Source organism: Homo sapiens, chromosome X (genome assembly GCF_000001405.40).
Source record: "Homo sapiens chromosome X, GRCh38.p14 Primary Assembly".
NCBI classification, from domain to species: domain Eukaryota; kingdom Metazoa; phylum Chordata; class Mammalia; order Primates; family Hominidae; genus Homo; species Homo sapiens.
In genome coordinates, this window is record NC_000023.11 from 16,648,244 (window position 1) to 16,666,550 (window position 18,307).

The following is an 18,307-nucleotide window of genomic DNA, read 5'->3' on the forward strand; positions in this document are numbered from 1 at the left end:
TTGTGGTTACATAGGAGAATGTCTTTGTCCTTAGGAGACAGATGCTGAGGTGCTCAGGGGGGAAGCATCTGGATGTTTGTAATTGATTCTCAAATGACTCAGGGGTGGAGGAAAGTATCTGTCCAGAGAAAGAGAAAGCAAATGTGGAGATGTTCGCAATTAGTGAATCTAGTCGAAAGGCAGACTGGTGTTCATTGCACTATTCTTGCCACTTTTCTGTAGATCTGAAATATTTTTTAAAAGATGTTTAAAAAAAGATAGTTCTTGTTATGATTAAGCACAAACGCCTACTTCCTCCCAGGAAAACAGAACATATGTGTAAAAACACTGGCAATTTTCTAAAATCTTGATTAAAATGCATTGCCAAAATCAGAATATTTTTGTGTAAAATCTTATAACTAAAAATAAAATGCCTGTCTTTACTCCAACCAGTGAGTTAATACATATTCTATATTGGTGCATAGCAAAGTCAAAGAATCCATAATAAAAACAAGAAGAATATATACAAGACAGCAAAGACACATGGAATGATAAATGCTCAAGACTGGCGGGAAGCTTTTAAGGAATTCTATTAGATTTCCCATTTGTTCTCCAATGTAAATAAGGCCCTAGAATTTTAGAGCTGAGAAACATCAGGGAGAAATACAGTCCCAATAGTCCAGTCCTCAGTTTGTAGGTGATATAAGGCAGAGTCAGGGAAAATTCTATAAGTGTGGAAGTGTACAAGTGTTTCAAAGCTGTAAAGTGCTCTTAAAATCCACCTGGAACCCCTTCCTGTGAGTTACAATCAGCATTAGATCAATGTCCCTTGGAAATGTCCTACTTATTTCATGGAACTCTTTCCAGTAGAAATCAATCTCCTTGGCAATTTTAAATCATGGCAGTTACAAAAAGTTTGAAGTATTTCCAACTGAACAAGAGTAAGTCGAGTGTTCTCACAAGTTTTTCGAATGATCACGAAATATATTTGGTAAGGAAAAGGATAATGAGAAATAAAAAGCAGACACAGGACCAACAAATAATGAAAGAGCTGAAAAAATGACCATGTTACTCAATATTGATTTGCCAAATAAAACCACAAATTACTGAGTATCTTCTTTCCACTTCTTAAACCTGCTTCTGAAGCAATACTTCCATTCATTCATTCATGTATTCAAATATTTAAGCTGCTAATATGTAAAGACATCAGAAGGACTTCAATGGCCATACCGTAATTTTTTAAACTATGTAATATTGTCCTTCTATGACAGCATTTTTTCTTTTTTACAGACAGGATCTCACTCTGTCACCCAGGCTGGAGTGCAGTGGCACAATCATGGCTCACTGTTGCCTCAACCTCCCAGGCTTAAGGAATCCTCCCACCTCAGCCTCTACAGTAGCTGGGACTACAGGCATGTACCATCACACCTGGCTGATTTTTTAAATTTTTCAGTAGAAATGTCTTGCTGTGTTGACCAGGCTGGTATCAAACTCCTCACCTCAAGCAATCCTCCTGCCTCGGCCTCCCAAAGTGCTGGGATTACAGGCATGAGCTACCGCACAGGGCAGCATTTATTTTTTCTGGATATGAAGAAAGTTATTTTTTAAAGCCTAAATATGCAACTAAATTGAAAAGAATCCTCTATATCTAAGCTTTATGAAATGTGAACTGTGAGCAAATATAATTCTACATTGGAGGGAAAATATAATCTCAGGGGGAAAAAAATCCAAGCTTACGACTCTGAACCATGAAGCAACTGTCGAGATGGACCTTTACTGGATCTTGCCCTTAATTATGGGGTTCATGCAGTCTTAAGCCTGAGTTTCAAAAACCATTAATAATTACCCTTAAATGGCCAACAAAAGGAAATTTTCATAATCAGGGTGGCGTGCCCGTAAAGACTATAAAAGTGTCATGATTCTGCTCAGCTCTTCAAACTCCTCTTTGATTCTTCTAGCTGTTTCACTATTGGGCAACCAGGTTAGTGTGATTTTGGTACTACCTAGAGCTCCTTCTGTTTGCATTAATACTCTGCTTCCTTTTAGAATGGTGTGAAAGATAATGGTCTGGAGAGAAGGTGAGTTTATGCCATCTGGAGATATTCCCTGTAACTTAGAAGCTAGAAGCTGTGGTCAAGTATTCTTCAAGACCACAGCCTGCAGAGTGCAGATCAGGTACATAAAAAGTGTAGAATGTCATTAATTACTAATAAAAATGTTTGGCTCCAGGGACCATCTCCTAACAGATGTACTCTAAGAACAGACATTTAACATACTATCTAAGATGTCTTTTTTTTTTTTTTTTTTTTTTTGCAGCGGAGGCTCGCTCTGTCACCCAGGCTGGAGTGCAGTGGCATCGCACTCACTGCAACCTCCGCCTCCCGGGTTCAAGCGATTCTCCTGCCTCGGTCTTCCAAGTAGATGGGACTATAGGCACGCACCACCACGCCTGGCTAATTTTTGTATAGAGACAGGGTCTCACCATGTTGGCCAGGCTTCCATGGTCTCGAACTCCTGACTTCAAGTGATCCACCCTCCTTGGCCTCCCAAAGTGCTGGGATTACAGGCATGAGCTACCGTGCCTGGCCTAAGATGCTTATTTTTTAAACATGTTAGTAGTTACTGGTGCCATTCCGACCCCGACATTCTCTTTTCCTTATTCTTCCCCATTTATGCCAAGGAAATGGCCCAATGGCACTAAAATCCTGCAGACAACCCTCAGCACAAAACTGTACTTCAGCTTTTTGGTAAGTTTATTTTCTTCCCAATTTATAAGACACCAGAATGAGTACTAAAAAGTCTCCTGAGGAACTGAAGAGGATTTTTGAAAAATATGCAGCCAAAGAAGGTGATCCAGACCAGTTGTCAAAGGATGAACTGAAGCTATTGATTCAGGCTGAATTCCCCAGTTTACTCAAAGTAAGTGGCCATCCGCAGAGCCCACTTAATGGGACTGATGGTGGGAGGGGAGGGAGGGAGGGGAGAGGACTCCGGTAGAGCCTTATAGGGACCGTCGCTTGAGGGAGGACACATGCAGGTGGGGTTTCTTCCCCTTAAGTCAGGCCACATTTCAGAAGGCAAGCTCTCAGAAAACAAGGGCCAAGCCTTCTATCCCTCCTGCAGCCTCAGCACAGGACTCTGCAGGACTAGCCATAATAAATGGAAGCAATGCCAAGTTATGCCTGGAAGACCCACAAGTCACCAAGCAAACCCAATAAGGCCTTCAGCATGGATTCAGTACTTCTGTGCCAGGCTTTAGGAAAACAAAGAGGACTGCAAAATAGTGTTAGCTGGCCTTGGACAGGCTTCATTTGTGTATGTAAAATCCCTCAACAAGACCAACACTTACTTAGCAGTCTGTTAGGAAAACCCACTGACAAATTGCCTTGTCAGCACTCATTTATATTTCAAAAGCATTTACATTTGTGTTCATCACTTAAATTTGTGTTAATGAGGCAACCGTGCATTTCTAAACAACTTTCAAGAAAGGACTAAATTTCCTGGGCCATAAAGTTTCACATCAAAATCACCCCAGAGTTGTCAAAATCAAAATGCATTCAAGGCAACAGAGTACAGAGAAGAGCTGATCGTCCTCACTCCAATATACAGTACTGTCTTTCCTTTTGCTAAAGAAAAAGCTGAGTCAGGACACTTGCCAAGGATGGTAAGGCAACTTACTCCAGGAGGGCCATGGCGACCCATACAGGGACCACTGAAACGTGTTCTTGCCATGGGGAGAGAGATTGGGCTCAACTCCAGAAAGGATAAGTGGGGGTTTATGACCATAGAGCAGGATGGGGGGGGCCAGTGGATGGAAAATTACCAAGGAAATATCCAGGATAAGGAGCTTCTGGCTAAATTGCCTTGATAGGATTCTAGCTGAAGGCAGGCCAGGTGATCAAATATTAAGGGTAGTCAGATACAAGGACAGAGAGGGAAGCCCAAGGTCAGGCCTAGTCGAGCAGAGGACTCAAAGGAGAGAGTCATTGTCATTTTGCAATTAAAAACCATCTTCACAACAGAAGTGACTATGGAATTGTTTTGTATGACTCAGTCACTATTTAGCTCTAACTTCAGGAAAGAACATTTCTTCAAATATTTTAACCAGCTCTCCAGATTTTAACCAGAAATGTCCCTTCTGCCAATATGACAATTGGAAAGACTTCTGTTTTTAATACTAAAAAAGAAAAAAGCTGAATTCAATGACCCCAGAATCTGATATTTTCTCATTTTCTCATAGTTGAAATATAGAAGAACTTGTAAAAACACTTAAAGTCACTAGCAGAAAAAGGGACTTTTTAATTAAACAGCAAAACAAGTTAGTGAAAAAATTTAAAATTTTAAAAGACCCTTTATTTTTTCTAAAAGGAAGAAAAATAATCATCTAACAGGAAAGCCTAGGCCATGTACTCAAACAAGTTGTTTCAAAAGGTAACACGGGTAACTTTTTCTATATTTTATGTCTTTCCTACAAAAAGTACGTAAGACATAATCTGGAACGAGGTAGGAAGACTAATGGTAAGTTCTGAAAGTCTACTTAACATGTACCTGATTATATTCCCATAAGGTTTCCATTACTAAGGTTTTCCACCATACTCTGTTTACATATATCATCACCATGCATGGTTTAGAATCTAGTAAAGGCTTCAGGAAAACAGTGTTTCATATTCATAAATCAAAGGCTGAATAAGTAACTTACAGTTTGGTCTTGTAATTAAAGCAAAGTGCTAAGTGTTTTTGTAGGAATCTTAGGGGTTAAAATATATCTTCCATAGAGATGTGCTGCACAAAATTGTGAATCTACTTAGCACTACTGAACTGTATGCTTAAAAATGATTAAGAGCGTAAATTCAATGTTATGTGTTTTTTACCACAATTTATATATACATATATATATATAATATAGTCTAATTTGAAACTGACAAACTGAACTGTTATTTCAATCGGTTTTCTAAGTAGTATTTTGCACAGATAGACTCCTACCTGAAAGTCCAAGTAGTAATGGCTTTAAGATTAGAGTTTTATGGTAGAGACAAAAATTAACTCCACTTAAGACACTGCAGGAAGTCCAGTAGTCAAAAAGCCTGCACACGATCTCACACGACATCTCAAGCAGTGGTTCTCCAAGTGTGGTCCCAGAGCAGCAGCATTGGCACCACCTGGGAAGCTGTTGAAAATATAGATTCTCCAGCTTGAACAACACAGCAAGACCTTGTCTCTATTAAAACTTTTAAAAAATTAGCCAGGTGTGGTGGCACACGCCTTTAGTCCCAGCTACTCGGGAGGCTGAGGCAGGAGGATCATTTGAGCCCAGGAGGTGGAAGCTGCAGTGGGCTGTGATCATGCCACTGCACTCCAGCCTGGGTGACAGAGCAAGACCTTGTGTACAGATTCTCGGGCCCCACCCCAGGCCTAGTGAATCAGAAACTCTGGAGGTGGGGCTGGCAGTCTGTATTTACTAAGGTCAGCAAGCCTATCGTGTGATTCTGATGCATGCTAAAGCATGGGAACCATTGAGCCAAAGTCATTTTGCATAGCTCAACGTTTGGGAAAAACTGGGCGGTGGTTAGTTAAGGGGTTGAGCTCTGGAGTCAACGTGTGGACCCCAACCCCTCTGTTAACCAGCTGTGGACACTCAAGTAAGTGACTGCCTGTCTCTGAGCCTGTTTCCCCACCTGTAAAGTAGATCTCCCTCATAGGGTGGTCGGAAGGATTACAGAAGGAGCCCTCCCTGCCTGCTGCCTCATGTAATATGTCAGCCCTAGCCCTGGAGCAGGAGACAAACCCAGCTTCCAGGAAAACCTTGGGGCAGGGGTCCTCAACTGTTTGTGTGCCGTGGGCAATCCAGTGAAGCCCACAGATCCCTTCTCAGAAGAATGTTTTTAGAGGCATAAAGAAAAAGACCCAAGATCGCATAAGAAAACAACTGTATTAAAATACGCATTGTATTAAAATAACAGATGTGTGATATGGAGGACAAAAAGGTAGCCAGTTCTATGACACGGAGCAATACAACAGCTAAAGCTGGTTTCTCTCTGTTAGCTATTAGATGCATGTCACTGGAAACCTGAGCTGCCTTCTTGGCACACAGACCCCAAGGCCTCTAATTTCTGAGAATGTGTAGCAGTAACTGATTCATTTTTTCTCCCCTCCCTTCTCCCATCCTTTTTTATGTAAAACAGGGTCCAAACACCCTAGATGATCTCTTTCAAGAACTGGACAAGAATGGAGATGGAGAAGTTAGTTTTGAAGAATTCCAAGTATTAGTAAAAAAGATATCCCAGTGAAGGAGAAAACAAAATAGAACCCTGAGCACTGGAGGAAGAGCGCCTGTGCTGTGGTCTTATCCTATGTGGAATCCCCCAAAGTCTCTGGTTTAATTCTTTGCAATTATAATAACCTGGCTGTGAGGTTCAGTTATTATTAATAAAGAAATTATTAGACATACCTTACTTTGTTAAGTACTGACCTCATAACATAATAGACTTGAAAGTAACCTTAGTCTGATTCAACTAATTCTATAGATTTAAAAAAGAGAGAGAGAGAGAGAGAGAGAGGGAGGCTGAGGCAGGAAGAACACTTGAGCCCCCGAGGTCAAGGTTGCAGTGAGACATGATCACGCCACTGCACTCCAGCCTGGACCACAGAGGGAGACCCTGTCTAAAAATAAAACAAAATAAAAATAAAAATAAAAAAATAAAATGTGAGGGCCAAGATAGCTCTGTGATCCTGCCGAAAACTACAAAGATGGTGTGGGAGACCTGAAAAGAATCCAGAAATGCCAAACCAACTCCCTTGCTCCACTTTTCCACCAGAATCACCCTGTTGCTTGCTCTCCTTCCTTAACTCCTCAGTGCTCAGGTCATCTCCAATTTCCACTCTGATCTCACACTATCCACTAGCGAGCAAGAAAAACACTTCACAAACAGACAGTTGACGTCATGCTATCTCCCAGCACTCGCTGTGCTTTCTTAATGAATGACCCTCGACGGGGAACAGAAGGAACACAGGACCTAGAGGCGGCCCCACTCATCACTGACCGGGTGGCCTCGGGTCTACCAGCCTAACGCCATGGTACTGGCATGTGACGTGTAATATAAAAGATCACAGGAAGACCTTGGGCCCTCTCAACTCTTGGCATCCTGTATTCTGAGAAAACAGCCAGCCCTCAAGTTCAAGTTCCACTTTTTGCGTCCAGCTAGGGGATGCAGGGGGTGAAGTGACAACAGTGTGGAATATGGAGGCAAGAAGTGCAGAGGAGGGAAGGGAACTTTCTGCTACCCCTTACCAGATAAGAGTTCAAATGTTAACGTTCAAGGAGGGAAGGGAACTTTCTGCTACCCCTTACCAGATAAGAGTTCAAATGTTAACGTTCAAGTTTGTCCAAGTTACCAATGGCTCAAGCTGACCCTAATAGCCTGGTCACAGCAGTGCCCCGGAAGCTAGATTTTTATTTCTTCTTTATCCTCGCAACTCTCCTCCGCAAAACACCCATGAAGTATCAAAGTATCAGTATTGGGTCCCATTGCCTTTGAACAGTCTCTCTCAACCTTTCTTTTTTTCTTTTTCTTTTTTTTTCTTTTTTTTCTTTGAGACAGAGTCTTGCTCTGTCGCCCAGGCTGGAGTGCAGTGGCACGATCTTGGCTCACTGCAACCTCCGCTTCCCGGGCTCAAGCAACTCTCCTGCCTCAGCCTCCTAAGTAGCTGGGATTACAGGTGTGCACCCCCACATCCAGCTAATTTTTGTATTTTTAGTAGAGACGGGGTTTCACCATGTTGGCCAGGCTGGTCTTAAACTCCCAATCTCAGGTGATCCACCCGCCTCAGCTTCCCAAAGTGCTAGGATTACAGGTCGCACCCGGCCTCTCTCAACCTTTCCTAAGCCATTATCAACCTCCTAAGGAGCTTTGTTAAACACTTGTTTCTAATCGCCACCCCCCAGGAAATTTTAACTCCAGAGATGTCTTGTGCATCTGTTTATGTGCTGTGCACATATCTGTGCTTTAGACATGAGATTTTTTTTAACCCCACTGCTGCCCTCCCCATCAAAAACCCAATTGTACATGATATGCCTTTGAACAATGTTCTTCAAGCCATTTATTATTTTTACCTCGCGCTCTAGAGCCCAGACTGCCACACTATACTTTCTGTAGTTAACATCAGAAAGATATGGGATCATTTCCACTTTCCTTTTTTTTTTTTTTTGAGACGAAGTCTCGCTCTGTCGCCCAGGCTGGAGTGCAGTGGCGCCATCTCGGCTCACTGCAAGCTCTGCCTTCCGGGTTCACGGCATTCTCCTGCCTCAGCCTCCCGAGTAGCTGGGACTACAGGTGCCCGCCACCACGCCCGGCTAATTTTTCTTTTTGTGTTTTTAGTAGAGACAGGGTTTCACCGTGTTAGCCAGGATGGTCTCGATCTCCTGACCTTGTGATCCGCTCGTCTCGGCCTCCCAAAGTGCTGGGATTACAGGCGTGAGCCACCATGCCCGGCCCATTTCCACTTTCAAAGTGTAGAAAATGATGATACTGAAGGCGTTTCAAACAACATAAGCCCTCTCCAAGATTCTGCTATACGGCTCTACCTTCAAGCTGAAAATAACTGCCTGCAAAGTACTGCCTTTGACTTATTTTTAGTTTCAGGGTTTTTTTGTGTTTTTTTGTTTGTTGTTGTTTTGTTTTTGAGATAGGGTATTGCTCGGTAGCCCAGGCTGGAGTGCATTGGCACTTTCAGGGCTCACTGCAGTCTTGACCTCCTGGGCTCAAGTGATCCTCCCACCTCAGTCTCCCAAGAAGCTGGGACTACAGGCATGTGCCACCATGACTGGCTAATTTTTTTTCTTTACTTTTTGTAGAAACAGGGGTCTTCCTGTGTTGCCCAGGCTGGTCTCAAACTCGTGGGCTCAAGCAATCCACCCACCTTCGTCTCCCAAAGTGCTGGGATTACAGGCATGAGCCACCATGCCCGGCCTTTTTTTTTTTTTTTTTTTTAATCTAATGAACTTGAATGTGTATGCTGGGTTCTTCTGTCAAGTTGGCTGCTATCATTTTTCCAGAAGCTGGATGACTCTCCGAGGTGGGCAAAGGAACACGTACCCATGCTCCCACCTCATCTACCCATAAAAGGCTGGGCAGGGCCAGGCTTCTCTCTGGGGTGTTTGAGCTCAGAGAGAGAGAAGTACCGGTTGATGTAAGCACAGGGATGGTGGGGACAGGGTGACCAAAGTGAACTGGGCACGAGATGAGTAGCTGGTATATAGTGACTTGGAAGGCAAGGTGCTTGAAATTTCCTGGAAAATCTCTGCAAGTGCACAGTAGAAACTATTATCATTGGTTACGTGCTTCAAGAGGACTGGGCAGATGGGGGGGCAGGAATAAGAGAGCCACTATTCACTTGACAAATTCTTGGACATTTTGATTTCTGAGCCATATGGATGTGTGTCCTATCAAAAAGAATAAGTGAAAATGTTCAATAGTAAGAGAACACTTTGTAAATCTCTGGCTGCTGCTCTTTGTGATTAGCCTCTCAGCACTCTTATTTGGAATAATCAGAAAAATACAACTATCTAAATTTTGGGAGGAGAGTATACTTGTGGAGATTTGGGAAGAAAGAAAATAAGTGTGGAAGTTTCCCCCAATAATAAAATGAAATTCATTGGAAGCCATTTCAAACATTTAGAAAGTTAACCAGAAAAATAGAAAGGTGGCCGGGCGCAGTGGCTCACGCCTGTAATCCCACCACTTTGGGAGGCTGAGGCAGGTGGATCGCTTGAGTCTAATAGTTCAAGACTAGCCTGGGCAGCATGGTGAAACCCTGTCTCTACAAAAAATACAAAAATTAGCCAGGCATAGTGGCGCACACCTACAATCCCAGTTACTCGGGAGGCTGAGGCAGGAGGATTATCTGAGCCCGGGAGGCGGAGGTTGCAGTGAGCCAAGATTGTGCTATTGCACTCCAGTCCAACCTAGGTGACAGAGCAAGACTCTATCTCAAAAAAAAAAAAAGGTGATTTCTAACCCACCAAGAAACAGAGGAGATTTTTATAAACAGTTGAGGGACTGTTTAAATACAATTTGTATCATTCTAATTCAACACAAGAGCATTCTCATGGTATTAAAACTCTTAAACATTTCTCATGACTCATTACATTCCACTGTACAGATACCCCATAATAATCTTAACTATTTCCCCATTGTGGGGCATTTAGATTGCTGTCATTTCCGATTCTTCCAAATGTTATGATGAGTAGATTGTTGTCATTTCTAATTCTTCTAAATGTAATGAGTACCTATTCATATTTCTGTCAACATTTCTGATTTCCTTAGGAGAATTTCTGAGAAGTAAATGTCTGAGTCAGAGGGTATGGATATTTGTATGGTTTGTCAAACAGACCACCTAACTGATTTCCCAAAAGGTTGTATGGATTCATAACTCTACAGGCAGGAAGGAGAACGCCAGCTTCACTTCCCAGAGAGCATTTGCTGGTCTCATTTTAACAACTGTTTTGTTCACGATGGTGCACATTTTTTATTTGTTGCTAGTTGTAATAAGAATCCCTTACTATTTCACCATGAACTTTACTGTTGGCTACTGCTTTGTGGAAGATATTCTTCTTGTTTAAGAAGTACTGGTGTCTTCCTAGTTCATTATGAGACTGTGAGCACCAGGTTTCGATGTTGAGCATGTATGGCGCTACACAGTCTCTCTCTTTTGTTCAATCAATATAATGTGTTAATTTAATTCCCAGGATAAACACACTACTCAGTCATGATCATTCTTTAATGCTGTTAAATTGGATGTTCGAATATTTTATTTGAGATTTTTCATATCTTCATTCCCAACCAACGTTAGTCTATGGTTTGAGTTTTTATTATTTGTGGTGTGTGTTTTGTTCAGTTCTGATATCTAGCTCATGCTAGCTTCTCATTTTAGCCTATGTTCATTCTAGGTATCAATTAGCCCCTCGCAGAGTTAATATACATTATCTATTTCAACTCCAACATATATAAAGTACTTATTATGGGCAAGGCACTATACAAGATGCCATGAGAGACACAAATTTCCAGACCTCTGAGATTCTAAGTCAGTAAGTTTGGGACCAGGTCAGGGGAAGGATTCATCAAAAAAGTAGCATTTCAACTGGGCTCTGTAGAAAGAACCTTGAGGGGAGCATGCAGGAAAGGGGCAGCAGTGGGCATTCAGAAAGAGAGAAAACAGCCCAAGCAAACACATCATGCCCAAATGCAAGGCTGTTTAAAGAATGTGTACACCATGTTTGGGGTGGAATGTCAAGTATGAGGAATGAAGAGGGCACACCCACTTCAGATCATGAAAGTCTTTGGTCACCATGCTGAGTCCACCCAAGGTCACAAAGGGAGTAAGAAGGTGTAGGAGTCACAGAATGACAAAAAAAAAAAATTGTATATATTCAAGGTGTACAACAAGATGTTTTCATCTCTGTATACACTGTGGAATGATTACCACGAGCAAGCTAACATATTCATCACTTCACGTAGTTACTGTTGTGTGTGTGTGATGAGAGCAATGAAGATCCACTCTCTAAGCAAATTTCAGCCTCCCGAAGTGCTGGGATTACAGTATTATTAACTATGGTCCCCATGCTGTACATTAGATCTCCAGAACTTACTCATCTTATAACTGCAAGTTTGTGCCCTTTGACCAACATCTCCCCATTTCTCCCACACACCCCACATTTTCCATTTTCTTTATCTATTCATCTATCAGTGAACACTTAGGTTGATTCTGTATCTTGGCTACTATGAATAATGCTGCAACAAACATGAGTGCAGATACCTCTTGAACACAATAATTTCATATCTTTTGGATATATACCCAGTAGTGGGATAAGTGGATCATATGGTAGTTCTATTTTTAATTTTTTGAGGCACCTCCACACTATTTTCCGTAATAGTAATGCCAATTTAGATTCCCACCAAGAGTGTGCAAGGGTTCCCTTTCAGGAGAATTTTTCTTTCTTTCTTTCTTTCTTTTTTTAGACAGGGTCTCACTCTGTCACCCAGGCTGGAGTGGAGTGGCATGATCATGGCTCACTGTAGCCTCGACCTCCTCAGGCTCAGGTGATCCTCCCATCTCAGCATCCTGAGGAGCTGGGACTACAGGTACACACCACCACACCCAGCTAACTTTTTAATTTATTTTTTATTATTTATTTATTATTTTTTGAGACAGTCTTGCTCTGTCACCAGGCTGGAGTGCAGTGACGCAATCTCAGCTCACTGCAACCTCCACCTCCCAGGTTCAAGCGATTCCCCTGCCTCAGCCTCCTGAGTAGCTGGGACTACAGGCACGTGCCACCATGCGCAGCTAATTTTTTTGTTTTTAGTAGAGACAGGATTTCACCAAGTTGGCCAGGATGGTCTCAATCTCCTGACCTCGTGATCCACCTGCCTCAGCCTCCCAAAGTGCCAGGATTACTTTTTTATTTTTTTGTAGACACGAGGTATCACCATGTTGACTAGGCTGGTCTTGAACTCCTGGGCTTAAGCAATCCTCTCACCTTGGCTGCCCAAAGTGCTTAGATTACAGGTGTGAGCCACCGTGCCCAGGCAAGAACTTTTCTTTCTCTGAGTAGAAAAAAGTTACCTCAGCCAACAGTCTGATGTCAACTCTAAACCTACTATCCCCACAGAGACAGTATCAAAGGAGTATTAGGCTCCCAGAGTGGTCTGTAAAAAGCTATTTAACCCATATTATAGCTGCATTTTTTTTTTTTTTTGAGACAGAGTTTCGCTCTTGTTGCCCAGGCTGGAGTGCAATGGCGCGATCTTGGCTCACTGCAACCTCCACCTCCCAGGTTCAAGTGATTCTCCTGCCTCAGCCTCCCAGTAGCTGGGATTACAGGCACCCACTACCACGCTCAGCTAATTTTTTGTATTTTTAGTAGAGACGGGGTTTCACTACGTTGGCCAGGCTGGTCTCAAACTCCTGACCTCAGGCGATCCACCGGCCTCAGCCTCCCAAAGTGCTGGGATTACAGGTGTGAGCCACCACACCCGGCCTATAGCTGTATTCCTAATGACTACTTTTATGGGAAAAAGGATTTTTAGCCCTAACTAACCTCCAAGTGATTTCTATATGATCTTTGTAATAGTCAGGAGATGCTTACTTCAACACTCTAAATGCAAGAAAATCCTCAAAGTAATCAAAATTGCCTAAAAGATAATTCTAAGTGGGCCATCTGGTTTGTTTTCAACACCTCTTAATTTGCACTCCATATGAAGTTGTTGAAAAATAATACAGATGAGGAAAATATTTTAAACAGGGCTTCAACTAAAGGCAGGAAAATGTTATGCATTAATCAATTATACTTCATGTATAACAAAAATCAACTTTCACCCAAATCAGCTTTTAATTATGTGACTGTTTCACAAATCTACTATGGTAGATGTAAAATTCACTTAACCCTGAAAATTCCTGGATCAAAAAGGGATAAATGACGTCATACCTATGATAAATAATGAAAACTGAAATAATATCAAATACCAAAATCTCAAATATCCATTTGCATCTCGTTAAAATGCTTTGAATTTCTCCCTGTTCCTTTCCCATACCACCATCCAAGTGTGCATGTGTGTGCTGATGTCTTTTGAAGGTGGAACATGAATTCTGTCTTCAGGGTGTAATATCTTATGTAAATTTAGAATTTTTAGTTACCTTTTTCAACAAACAGAAAAGAAATGCTTAGAGTTAAGCACATTCACATGCCTACACATTAGATTGAGATTGTTCATTCATATATATATATATATATATGCCTCAAAAGCTGAAAATATTCAAAATATAAAGTCCAAAGTGCTGTGAACTACACTACAGATGTACTGGAGAGATCTGAAGCCAAATTCAAGGTCAAGGATGTCAGCAGCAGCCATGTGATTGATATAGGGTTAGAATGTAAGTCAGCAACAGCTACGCTCTTGGTTATGTACCATCTAGAAGGCAGCTGAGACTACTTTGAAGCAGGGCAAAAAACCAGAGTTGCTATAGAACCCTAAGTATTCTGCAAAGTCCCAGAGCCTTCAATTTCACCTTGTGGATTAAGCAGAGAAATGACACAATAAAATAAATTTTACTCATTCTCTCCTGGGCACTCTGAGACGCAGAAAGAGTCTACCTTAACCCTTAGGGAAAAATCTGTTTCTCTTTTTATGTGTATAACAGACACTTTCTCTTGGAACTGTTCTGGATGCCAGTGTCTCTATTGATTTCATCAACAGCCATAGCACTAATCATGCATGCCAAAGGAGGGTCATGATGACCTATGAAGAGATCTTAGGAGTAAATATTCCCTATAGAAGGCTCCTGGTTTCCAAACTGTTTACTTTCCTAGCTAGAACAGCCAGAATGACCAGTCCCCACAAAGTAACTGTTATTTGCTCAAGCTTAAGTAACTCTGCAGGCTTCATGGTGCTTGCTGCCTTATGATTCTATCTCCTTAGTCTTTTTTTTTTTTTTTTTAATAAGACTTCTCACATCGATACAAGTGCTAGCTCTTAAGGCTATTTTTCTCCAACAAACATTGCAGGCCATAAAGACGTTCAATAGCAATTAGCTTTTATTGTTCTCATCTCACTTATGTGTATAGGAGCCATCAAAATGTAAAATGCACACATCCTCTGACTTAGCAACTCCCCTTCTAGGAATCTATCCCTGCAGATGTGTTCGCGCGTGGGTGCAAGGATATATGTACATGGATACTAATTTGCAGCATAAATTAAAGCAGCAAAATAATGGACACAAACTAAATATGAGACTGGTTAAATAAATAAGGATGCAGCCATATAGCATACAGCAGAGCAAGCACACCGAAGACATCCCTGCACATTGATGTGGAATGATCAGTATATAAAGCAAGGTGGGAACAGTGTCTGGAGCATGCTACAAAGTTGTTTTGTTTGGTTTTGTTTTGAGACAGGGTCTCGCTCTGTCACCCAGGCTGGAATGCAGCGGCGTGATCACAGCTCACTGCAGCTCAACCCCTGGGGCTCAAGTGATCCTCCCCCTCAGCCTCCCGAGTAGCTAGGACTATAGGTGCATGCCACCATGCCCAGGTAATTTTATTTATTTATTGTAGAGGCAAGGTGTAACTATGTTGCCCAGGCTGCTCTCAAACTCCAAGACTCAAGCAGTCCTCCCGCCTCAGCCTCCAAAAGTGCAGGGATTACAGGCATGAGACACTGCACCTAGCCAAGATCTTTTTTTTAAACGCAATACATATTCATATGTGTGTGGCTAAGTGGGTATACACACACAAAAACACACACACAAATCTCTGAAATAACTAAAGAAATGCATCAGCTGAGCTCCTGTAGTTTCAGCTACTTGGGAAGTTGAGGTGGGAAAATCACTTGAGCTCAGGAGTTCGAGGCTGTAGTGCGCTATGATCACACCTGTGAATATCCAGCCTGGGCAACATAGTGAGACAGCCCATCTCTTTAAAAAGGAAAAAAAGAAAGAAAGAAATGGATCAAAGTAGTTGCCACTGGGGAAGGGAACCGAAGTGAGGTGGGGGCAAAGGAGAGACAGTTCTGTACCTTTTTCTGCAGGGCTTAACTTTTTTACTCTGTGTAAAAAAAAATTTTTTTTCATTTTTTTTGAGGCAGAGTCTTGCTTTGTCACCCAGGCTGGAGTACAGTGGTGCAATCTCGGCTCACTGGAAGCTCTGCCTCCTGGGTTCACGCCATTCTCCTGCCTCAGCCTCCCGAGTAGCTGGGACTACAGGCGCGTGCCACCACGCCCAGCTAATTTCTTTATGTTTTTAGTAGAGACAAAGTTTCACCATGTTAGCCAGGATGGTCTTGATCTCCTGACCTTGTGATCTGCCCGCCTTGGCCTCCCAAAGTGCTGGGATTATAGGCATGAGCCACTGCGCCCGGCCATGTGTAAAAATTTTTTAACGCACGTACACACACCCCCAGTAAAGAATAATCATCAAAGAATTAACCTTGCCAACACTATCTAACAGTGGCACCTACTGGTAAAATCACTTCCTATCCCAAAGTATATCTTAGAAAAGAAAACCCATAGTTTTCCTGGCACAGCCATTTCAGCTATTAGTCAGGAAATATGTTTATATTAAAGGCTCATAAGGAACCCTTCATTGGTATTAGGCCTTCTGAGCATAAGACTTAAAAGTACCATCTGGCTGGTAAGTTATGGTTCATTATGGTTTGAGTTACAAGCTATAAAAAAAAAGAGTGAAGAATGCTTCTATGTGCTTCCGTGGGGTGATCTCCAGCATACAGTGTTAAGCGAAAAATGCAAGGCAGGAAAAAACTGTGTAGAGTATGCTACCATTTCCCTAAGAAGGGAAGTGGATGACAAAGACATACAGCTTTACTTATATGTAAAAAATGGGAAGATGAACCAAGAAAAAAAAGAATGAATGCTTGCCATAAGGGAAGGGATTAAACAGGCTACAGGGGACAGAAATAGAACTAGATTTCTCTAAATCAGTGGTTCTCAACCAGGGCGATTCTGCCCCTGCCCCCAAGAGATATTTGACAATATCTGGAGGTACTTTTAGTGTCACAGTTGGGCAGGGGTTAGGGAGTGATACTGGCACCTAGTGGGCAGGAGCTCCCACATACAACAAAGAATGATGTGTTCCCAAATGCCGATAGCACAGATTATATATAAGGAACTTATATCTAGAATATATAAAGAACTGTTACAACTCAATAATAAAAATACAAATACCCTAATTTTAAAATAGACAAAGGATGTGAATGGACCTTTCTCCAGAGAAGACATACAAGTGGCCAATAAACACATGAAAAGATGCTCAACATCCTTAGCCATCAGGCAACTGCAAATCAAAGCCACGATGAGACACCACTTCACATCCACTAGGATGGCTATCATCAAAAAGACAGAAATAACAAATGTTCACAAGGATATGGACAAATTAGGACCCTCATACATTGCTGGCAGGAAATTAAAATGTTGCAGCCACTTTGGAAAACAGTCCTACAGCTCCTCAAAGGGTTAAACACAGAATTACCATATGACTCAGAAATTCCACTCCTGGTGAAATGAAAACATATGTCCACACAAAAACTTGCACATGAATGTTCACAGCAGCGTTAGTCACAATGCCAAAAAGTAGAAACAATGCAGATGTTCATCAATGGATAAATAAAATGTTTCATGTCCATATAATGAAATATTAATCAGCAATAAAAAGAAACAAAGTACTGATACGTGTTACAACATAGACAGACTTTGAAAACATTATCCTAAGTAAAAGCAACCAGTCACAAAAGGCTACATATTGGATGATTCCATTTATATTAAATGATTCAAACAGGCAAATCTATGAAGACAGAAGGTAGACTAATGGTTGCCTGGGGCTGGTGGAGATAGGAGGCTTGGGGGTGTCAGCTAAGGCGTGTGGGGTTTCTTTTTGGAGTAATGAAAATGGCCCAAAATTGCTTGTAATGAGAGTGGCACAGATCCGTGAATATGCTAAAAACCATTGGATTATACAGTTTTTTGTTTGTTTGTTTTTTGAGACAAAGTCTCACTCTGTTGCCCAGGCTGGAGTGCAATGGCACGATCTCAGCTCACTGCAACCAACGCCTCCTGGGTTCAAGCAATTTTCCTGTGTCAGCCTCCCTAGCAGCTGGGATTACAAGCATGCACCAGCACGCCCAGCTAATTTTTTGTATTTTTAGTAGAGATGGGGTTTCAACTTGTTGGCCAGTCTAGTCTCGAACTCCTGACCTCAAGTGATTGACCTGCCTAGGCCTCCCAAAGTGTTGGGATTACAGGCGTGAGCCACCGCATCTGGCCGGATTATACAGTTTAAATGGCTAAATTTTGTGGTATATGAATTGTATCTCAATAAAGCTGTTTAAAAAACCAATCGCGATTGTGAGGCGCGAGCTCCATTAGAAGTAGGTGCCCAGCAGCAGGGACACGACTGGGTGTGCATGGGTGGCTGGCAAACAGGCTGACTGAAGGCCAACCATCATCTTGCAGAACTCGCTCTGTTAGTGGTGAGCACAGTAGCATGAGGCAGAAGGCAGAGGCAGGTAAAGAAAAGAGGTCAGGAAAGGTTTCCTCAGATGAATAGGAAGTTGTTGGTAACTGAGTTGTTGTTAATTAAATTTTTCAATGCTTTTATTGAGATTCCAGGGGGAGAGGGATTTTAGGCAGGTGGACATCTCAGGTATAGGGAACCTCAGGCTGTATCTGAAAAACTAGTTTAGATTGTCCAAACGTAAAACTCAAAGCATGTAGCCTGGGCAACATAGTGAGACCTTGTCTCTACAAAAAAAATCAAAAAATG

At 42.0% G+C, this 18,307-nt stretch overlaps 2 protein-coding genes across 12 annotated transcripts in view; one reads left to right on the plus strand and one right to left on the minus strand.

The window, feature by feature from the left end:
* Positions 1-18,307, minus strand: part of CTPS2 (CTP synthase 2) — a 124,912-nt gene that overhangs the window by 60,245 nt on the left and 46,360 nt on the right. Inside the window, exon 14 of one of the 10 annotated variants that reach the window (XM_047442262.1) lies at positions 4,963-5,146. The exons of the other annotated variants lie outside the window; for them this stretch is intronic. Coding sequence (XP_047298218.1) covers positions 4,963-5,146 — 184 coding nt within the window. The remainder of the gene's footprint in view (positions 1-4,962; positions 5,147-18,307) is intronic. 10 annotated transcript variants of the gene reach the window in all.
* On the plus strand, positions 1,915-6,427 carry S100G (S100 calcium binding protein G). 2 transcript variants are annotated; one of them, XM_017029841.2, is made up of 3 exons: positions 1,915-1,960; positions 2,660-2,898; positions 6,162-6,427. In XM_017029841.2, exons 2-3 carry the CDS (start codon positions 2,764-2,766, stop codon positions 6,264-6,266), a joined length of 240 nt encoding a protein of 79 aa, XP_016885330.1. In that variant the 5' UTR covers positions 1,915-1,960; positions 2,660-2,763; the 3' UTR covers positions 6,267-6,427. The 2 variants fall into 2 exon arrangements, with proteins under 2 accessions (XP_016885330.1, NP_004048.1); NM_004057.3 differs by having other exon boundaries at positions 2,756-2,898.

Coding starts and splice junctions, on each gene's coding strand:
- S100G (XM_017029841.2), top strand. CDS start 2,764: ATGAGTACTAAAAAGTCTCCTGAGGAACTGAAGAGGATTTTTGAAAAA. Junction 2,899..6,161: donor AATTCCCCAGTTTACTCAAA/GTAAGTGGCCAT, acceptor TATGTAAAACAG/GGTCCAAACACCCTAGATGA.